This window comes from Homo sapiens, chromosome 9, assembly GCF_000001405.40.
Source record: "Homo sapiens chromosome 9, GRCh38.p14 Primary Assembly".
Lineage (NCBI taxonomy): Eukaryota > Metazoa > Chordata > Mammalia > Primates > Hominidae > Homo > Homo sapiens.
Window position 1 is genome coordinate 91485693 of NC_000009.12, and position 8267 is coordinate 91493959.

Consider the following 8267-nt stretch of genomic DNA (forward strand, 5'->3'; position numbering starts at 1 on the left):
CTCAATAATTAATCAGTAGAACTAATAGAAACTGATAGAAAATAAGCAACTCATGGAACAATTATCAGTTTCATAATAACCCAAGATAGTTCATTAAGAACTAGAAAAAAGGCTGTAGCATAATGTTCAAAAGTAAAATATTAGTAAATGTGATGCATGATACTTGGGTGGATCTTGTGTCAAAAGAAAAAAGTCAACTGTGAAAGATATTCTTAGGACAAAGAAAAAAATTTGAATATGGACCAAAGACGTAGACAATAGTATTGTGAGCTGGGCATGGTGGCGTATACCTGTAATCCCAGCACTTTGGGAGGTCAAAGTGGGATTGTTTGAGCCCAGGAGTTTGAAACCAGCCTGGGCAACATGGTGAAACCCCATCTCTACAAAAAATACAAAAATTAGCTGGGTGTGGTGGCATGTGCCTGTAATTCCAGCTACTTGGGAGGCTGTGTTGAGAGTCCAGGAGTTCAAGGCTACATAAGCCATGATCTCACCACTGCACTCCAGTCTGGATGACAGAGTGATACCTGTGTAAAAAAATAATAATAATTAGTATTCTATCAATGTTAATTTCCTGAGTGTGATAATTATATAATTATCTCATTTAATAGGAGAGAAATGCTAAAGCATTCAAGGGTTCAGTGTCATGATGCTTGTAATTAACTCTCAGATGCTTCCTCAAAAAAAAAATCACATATATGTATATATAATACAAATATGGCAAAACAGTAACAATTGGTAAATCTAGGTAAGGATATGTAGACGTCCACTTGATTATTTTTTGCAAGTTTTCTGTATGTTGAGTATTTAATAAGTTGGAGAGAAACTAAAGGATTTTTTAAAAATGAAGTAATATGAGAAACTCTCTACTACAGTTACCATGTTTATAAGCCTTTCAGAAGAACTAGTAGATAAATAGTTTATTTTACATATTTGAATTACCACTGAAAATTTTTTTCTCCCTTTCAAAACATTGGTCCCAGCTTATTAAAAGGATTACGCTTTGCACTTGAATTTAAAGCCAAATTTCTCCAAGCGCTTTTGCATAAAGATTTGTTAATGAAATCTTAACTTTTGGGATAAAACCTTAGCATGTCAGAATCAGACTCTTGGGCATCTCAAGTGCAAATTCCTTACACTCCTTATGAGTTTGGTCATCCCTCTTTGGCGGAGTCAGTTACATTTCTACAGAGGATTTCAAGGAGAAATGTTAAGATACTCACGCACGCTGAGGGGCCTCCAGCAGCCACGTGCCCTGCCTCTTAGGGCCACTCTGGGTCACAGAGGACAGGAGAAAGAAACTTGGGTCATGGTGCAAAGGAGAATGAAGAAAACTTACCAGTCATTTTGGATCAGAGAGAGAGAAAAAAAGGAAACCTCTCCCTTCTGTTCACATCAATTAGGACTCTTTGCAATAAGTGACAGAAAAACTCAACACCAGATGAAGCAAGAAAGGGAACTGAATGACTAAACTACTGAAATGTCCAGAGGAGGACAGGCAGATTCCACTGCTCAGTGTCACAAGACTTGGTGTTTTTTTCCCTCTCAGCTCTGCCTCTTCCTGTGGGCTCTAACTTCAGGCCCTTCTCTCAGGGGAGCAAAATGGCTGCCAAGGCCCCAGCCCTTATCCTTTTACTGTAAACCAGTGAGGAGAAGCAAAGGGCTGTTTCCCAGAAGTCCCAGGAGATACTTCATTGGGTCTCAAGGTGTCACATGTCCACCCCTGAGCCAATTAGAGTGAGGGAGGAAATGAGTGTGTGCCTGGATGCCGAGACACACCCTCACCTACTCCATGACCTGGTGCCCTGAGGACGGGATCACAGTGGGGCCCCGAATGACTGCTAGCAGAAGTGGGGTGCATGACTCTGGGTTTCCATTACTTCCTGGAAACCATTAGATAACTTAATGGAGCGTGCAACTTAGGGTAGAAAAGAGGGTTTTAAGGTGGAAGGAGAAGAAGAAACATCTTACTCTTTTGAAACACTGTGAATCTGCAAAAGACAAAACATTCCTTTCTTTTGCATAGAAATATTTTTTGTTTCTGAGCTTAATGGCACTCGGAATTGGATTGAGAATGTTGTATCTTTCCCTATACGCCATTGGAACAGAAAATTCTCTCACATTTCTGGAGTGGCTCCCCACCCTGAGCCCTGCCCTCCTGTACCCGCCAGGAACTCCTGAGGGTGCCTTCTGGCTGGAACAGCAGCTTCCTGGAATGGAAAAGTCTAAGTGTGGAACTCTGGGCTGTCTGCCCTCACCACTGTCAGCACCATTGCACGGAGGGCTAAGCAGCGGACCACTGCACTAGGGATGTACAAGAAGAGTCCGGGGGTGCCTGAGGCTGGTTTTCCCAGAAGCAGACACTGAGATTAAGATCTGAGTGCAAGGGATGTTTTAGGCACTGATGCTGGGAAGCACTGGGAGGGGCGTGGATGTGAAACAGAGAAGAGAAGGAAGTCGATGCACAGGGTGCTTTACAGACGTTATCGCTGTGGGCAGTAGTGGCTCAACCCCACTGGAAGCCTCTAGAGGAAAGTTAGGACACACGTCAGACTCAGGTCCCGCGTGTGAGTCAGGCTCCCTGGGCCCTTCAATGGAGAAGTGCCGCTGCATCTGTGAGAAGCCACTACTGTGCAAGCTTCCAGTGGGTGCCACGGCGGGCGATGGGTGCAACTCAGCCATGTCCAGGAGAGGAGCATCCCAGGCACTTGTTGGAAGCATCATTCTAGGGATGCTGTTGCCTGAGGAGCCAAACAAAGAGGTGATTGTATCCAGGGAAACAGGACAGACTCTCAGGTCCCCTGGGAGGTGAGAACATCTTCTTTCTCAGGCCCAGATGTCACATAACTCACAAAAAGCCAAATGATGGATTACAAACTGTAGGAGGGCTGGACACACAGGATTAGCTACTGGGGCTCCCCTCACTAGCCGGGGCAGAAGATGGCAGCACTGCCCAGCTTTGCATTTTGAGGAACCCCTGCTCACACATCGTGGAGGAATCTGAATGACAATCTGAGCAAAAGCCTGAATATATTCACTTTCTTGCTGAACAGGGTTACAGAGGAGACTTGTAGCAATGAAATAAAAGGGCAACTACAGGTGGAAAGTGAGCTAAGGGTCATGAGTCCTCATGCACTCCAGGCACCAAAGCCGATTTGGTAAAAGAACACTGGGCCCTCAACAGGCAAATGAAGAAGCTGGTCATCTTCAGAGTGGAAATGCTAAGGCTCTCGCACCAAGACAAATAGACTGAGTCTGAATCTCACCTGTACTAGCCATGCATCTTTGGGCATGTGATTCAACCTCTTTAAGCTTTTAGTTTCTCATCAGCAAAGTTGGGATGTAAAATGTAAGTCTGTCTTGAGGGTTAGATGGGATGGTAGATGGCATGTGTAAAGTGCCCTCGTTATGGGAACTCAGTGACTGAGAGGCATCTGTGGGGCCAGCCCTGCTGTCATTAGGTATGAATATCATTACAAAGGCTACAACTGGTTACCTTACATGCTATTTCTATAAGAAGGCCAGGGAAAAGAAAGAACAAACACACAAAAAATAGACACAAGAGGAGAAACTAAGATCCCCTAGGGAGATAGTTGACTTTGGCAAGCTATTAATATAGTGAAGTTATTAATGCATGTGGAGTGTGTCCATTTTCTTGGCATCTATTCAGTTTCCTATTTTCTCTAGAGGGATGCTAAGTGGACAGGGTGGGAAAGGAATAGGAAGGCCAAGAAAAAGCTATTATGGGTGACCCTTTCCCACTCACCCAGAAGAACTTCAGGAATGGTCCAGGCTTGAATCAGCAACTAGCTCAGCAGGTCTTCCATGTGAGCCTCTTTGGCTGAAGCCACAGACATCCTGACTTTGTGCTCAAAATAGAGCACTGATTCAGAAGGCGTCTTCATAAGAGACTGAAATGAAACAGCAAATTGTGCTGTCACAAATGACGAAGGAGGGTTTTAAAGGACTGTTTTAGGGGGCGCTTCTTTCTCCCCTTTGAAGGCTGAGGTCATTATCTGCACTGTGGGCATGTGGGCTCAGAGCCTGTGTTTCCGTGGCACTGTGGGTTGGCAGCTTATTCATGTGGTGGTGAAGACTCATGACTTGCTGTTCTTGCCCTTCATTGCAGGGCTCAGTGGCTAAAGGGCTTTATTGTTGCTGCCATGTAAAGCCTTCTGTCCTATGGAAGCTCCGTGCTCTGGCATCATCTATTTCAGGAGCCTGTGACAGTGGCAGCGTCATACCCTAAAGCTGGAACTTACAGACAAAAGCGATGGGCCAGTATCGGTCAGTGTTCTAAAAGATGAGCTTTGATTTGACTTAAGTGTTTCCCCTCCACAACAGCATGATAGACCAAGATACTTCTGACTACATCTCTCTGTGGATCTGCATCTGTCAGAGGGGAACAGAGTAGATTGTCTACCCACCTCAGAATGCTCCCAGAGACAAGACAGCCCCAGTCCCTTCCCTGTAGGAGTGGGGAGTCCAACCATTCATTGGCAGAAAGAGCCAAGTACACATATTCAGTTCAAACTCATAGCACATTTAAAAACGTTCGCTCATTTTGAAATCATTTCAGATGTACAAGAGTTGCAAGAATATTACAAACAACCCCCATAGACCCTTCACTCAGATTCCTCAGATGTTAGCATTTTACCATGTTTGTCTTATCATTCTCTATACATACATACTAGTTTTCTGAACCTTTTGAAAGAAAGTGGCAGCCAAAACCTCCTCTGCTCCTAAACAGTTCAATATGTAATTCCCAAAAAACAAGGACATTCTTTACATAATACAAGTATCAACATCAGAAAATCCACATTCAAATAATATTATCTAATCTCCAGGACTTGTTCAGATTTCACCAATTGTCCCAGTAATGTCTTTTATTTTATTTTATTTTATTTTTTTTTTTAGACAGAGTCTCGCTCTGTCACCCAGGCTGGAGTGCAGTGGCGCTATCTTGGCTCACTGCAGCCTCCGCCTCCCAGGTTCAAGTGATTCTCCTGCCTCAGCCTCCCAAGTAGCTGGGATTAAAGGTGCCCACCACCACACCCGGCTAACTTTTTGTATTTTCAGTAGAGACAGGGTTTCACCATGTTGGCCAGACTGGTCTTGAACTCCTGATCTCAGGTGATCCACCTGCCTCGGCCTCCCAAAGTGCTGGGATTAAAGGCGTGAGCCATGGCATGCAGCTCCCGTAATGTCTTTAAGAGCAAAAGAAAAATAAATTCTTGTCTGGGATCCATACATTGCATTTAGTTGTCATAGCTCCTTAGTCTCTTTTGATGTGGAGCAGTTCCTCAGTTTTAATGAGATTGGTATTTTTGAGGCATACAAGCTATCCACTTCATAAAATGTCCATAAGTTTTCATCCTAAAGAATGAATTAATGAGAAAATCACCTTTTGGTAACAGTCATAGTTATATTGACTCAGACAGCTGTCAGCGGAAGACAGAACTAGCTGGTGAGGAGGAATAGGATGTTTTCATGATCTCAGTGCAGCTCCTCGCGGAATACTGATGGATTACGAAGGGAAAAATAGTCACTTTACACTGGTGCAGGCTGGCAGGCCTCACCTTAACCAGCGGATCACAGCTGGCATCAGAGATGGTGGACTTCACGTACTTCCTGATATGATGTGCTGAGAAAAACATAGCTTTTTGCACTTCTCTTGCTTCCCACCAAAATTGCGTATCCTGAATCTATTCATGAAGAAACCTCAAACCTAACACATTAGAATGTTATCACAACATGGGAAAAATCTGGACTACAAACTTTTTACAGGCAGGAGACCTCCGCAACACTAGCAGCCTTCTCTAAGATGAGTTCACTAGACCTTTGCTTTCAGAGCCTCAGCGAGGCCTTTTCAGGCTCTCCCTGCTGGGTCAAGTCTCCTACTCTAAACACAAGAGGGACTTGCTAGCCCGCCCCAATTCCCAGTGGTCCTCGGCCTTAGTTCCTTGTTTTGGAACCTCTTTTTCCTACAGAGACTTGAAGATCATTCAACACTTCCAGTTTTGAGACAAAGCTGTGTCCAAGCAAGGTTGTCCATGAGCCTCGACTGGGCTTCCCTCCTGGTCCTGCACAGCCCAGGAGCTGCTGCCTCAAGGTCATCTTCACTGAACCCTGCACGGTGCTGGACAGCCCCAGCTCTGAAGTGTGGGTCAGGCCTGAACACTAGCCCTGCAGCCTGGTCGAGTGCCCATGGCTCTGTCTCCATTTTCTCATCGGATTCATGGGACCAAGGACGCCGATACAGTAGGGCTGTGGACAGCATAGGTCGATGTCACTGTAGAATGGTTATCACGGAGCTCAGCATATAGGCAACGTGCAGTCAGCGTTAGCTTTTGGTATTACAGTCGTCAGCGGGCTTTTAAGCCTATACATTCTGAAGCCAAAGATTTGCCTGGTGAAAGTATTTACAAGTGAGTGACTTGCCTGGGTTCAAATCCTCTCTCCACTATGTCCTACCTCTATGCTCTTTGGCAAATGACTTAGCTTCCTTTATGAGATAATTGCAAGGATCAATTAAATGGTGCCTGGCACAGAGTATGAGCTAGGTGAGCTTCAGCTATTCTTCTTCTTAGCTCCTTTTTTTTCCCCAAAAAAAGCTTACATTTGGGTGAAACTTCTGGGTTTATGTGCACACTCCCCTTGTGATGCTGATCCTCACTAGAAGAAGAAAGGGATCATCTTCCATTTTACAGACAAGAGGACTCAGGGAAATCAGGGAAATTACACTACCTCAGCAAAACTACACATTTGAAATAGCAAAGTGGGGCATTAATCCTGGGTCTTGAACACAAGCATACTGTTCTTTACAGCTGTCATTCTTCCCCCAAATATTTGTGAAATGCTATGTGCCAAGTGCTGGGCCAGGCGCTGCAAACACAAAGCCCCTGAGTGGGAGGAATCAAGTGAGAAGAGGAGATGGGCGGGGTTCCAGGGAGGTGAGGGTGTGGCACCTGCTCTAACATAATGTGCCTCTAACTCAGGCGAGGGCTCAGGGACAGTGATGCTTGAGACAGGTACTAGAGGGATTTAGAATAAGCAGATGGAGTAGCTGAAAGATGAAGGAAATCCAGGAAAAATAGCAATGTGAAGGCAAGGAGGGTGAAACAGGCAGAGATATTTGGAGGCACAAGTAACTGAGAATGGCTGGAGCCACAGGTGCTGGAGGGGGTGCTGGGTATGGGTGAAAGCAATCTGAGTGGGCTTCCTGGCAGGCTGGAGATTCACACTGTTGCAGCTCTGGGCGATTGCCCACAAGGCATCTTCAGGGAGGAGGTTTTTTTTGTTTGTTTGTTTGTTTTTAATGCTTTTCTCCTAGAGTCTCAGGATAGTCATTTTAGCACTCAGTTTTAAATGCTTCCACCAAGCATGCTGTAATTCTATTTAATTACTCTCCTTCCTTCCCCATCGGAGGGTCCCATCCCTTGATCAGCCTCCATGTGGTGTTTGGAGCATGTGATGGGAGACTGGCGGCCCCCACAGCCACCCCAGGGCCTGTGCTAAGGGAACAGCTGGTACTGTTCTCAGCAGATCTCAGTGGTGACCTGCAGGAATACACCAGCAAACCAGGGTTGACCCAGAGCCACAGGGGACAAGCTCATGTCACAGAGCAGCCAACCAGGTGAGTGACAAACCTACCTCTTCTTGAATACACTAAGGGATGGAGGTATTAGGCAGGCAGAGAAGTTGCATTTGGATGTGTCACTGTGAGGTACCCATGGAAGGCCCCTAAGGAGATGCCCCATACGCAGCTAGCAGTTTGCATCTGGAGCTCAGAAGAGAAGCCAGGCTGGGGATGGAGGTTTTGGTCATCAGCACACCTGTGGAAGTTCAAGTCTTGGGTGAGGTCACTCACGGAATGAGAAGAGCCTGCAATGAAAGGTGAGGTCTTAGAGAAAGCCAAAACTTCAGGATATACAACACCTGATTTCCTTTTTATACTGTTTTTTACAGGCCTCCTCCCAGCCATAACCAAAAATTACTTTTTCAGAGAGCTGCATAAGTCCAATATGCTAATATGCTAAGGAGACATGTCTTGATTTAGAGCTCATAACATTATCTTCCTGACCAGTTACTGCGTTCGAGGGCTCACAATTTTTTCCCTTTAAATGATAGATAATAATTTACATATTTATGGGGCACACGTGAGTTGGTTACATGCATAGAATATGCACAAGGATGAAGTCAGGGTATTTTGGGTGCCCATCACTTTGAGTGTTTATCATTTTTGTGTGTTGGGAGCATTTTTAGAG

The 8267-nt window shown here is 45.1% G+C and overlaps 3 annotated features.

Moving 5' to 3' along the window:
• Positions 3284–4483: an enhancer, noted in NCBI's record as "BRD4-independent group 4 enhancer chr9:94251258-94252457 (GRCh37/hg19 assembly coordinates)". NCBI's record gives its function as "activates an origin of replication core promoter dependent on BRD2, P300/CBP, MED14 and CDK7 cofactors, and independent of BRD4, by STARR-seq in HCT116 cells {active_cell/tissue: HCT116}" and the evidence as "EXISTENCE:reporter gene assay evidence [ECO:0000049][PMID:35650434]".
• Positions 6884–7053: an enhancer, noted in NCBI's record as "experimental_109428 CRE fragment used in MPRA reporter constructs". NCBI's record gives its function as "activates a minimal promoter by MPRAs in K562 erythroleukemia cells, with activity observed for both the introgressed and non-introgressed 9:94254943 or rs72741296 variant alleles {active_cell/tissue: K562}" and the evidence as "EXISTENCE:reporter gene assay evidence [ECO:0000049][PMID:34662402]".
• Position 6969: a transcriptional cis regulatory region, noted in NCBI's record as "Neanderthal adaptively introgressed variant 9:94254943 (GRCh37/hg19 assembly coordinates) or rs72741296 in the experimental_109428 CRE". NCBI's record gives its function as "modulates activity of the experimental_109428 enhancer by MPRAs in K562 erythroleukemia cells {active_cell/tissue: K562}" and the evidence as "EXISTENCE:reporter gene assay evidence [ECO:0000049][PMID:34662402]".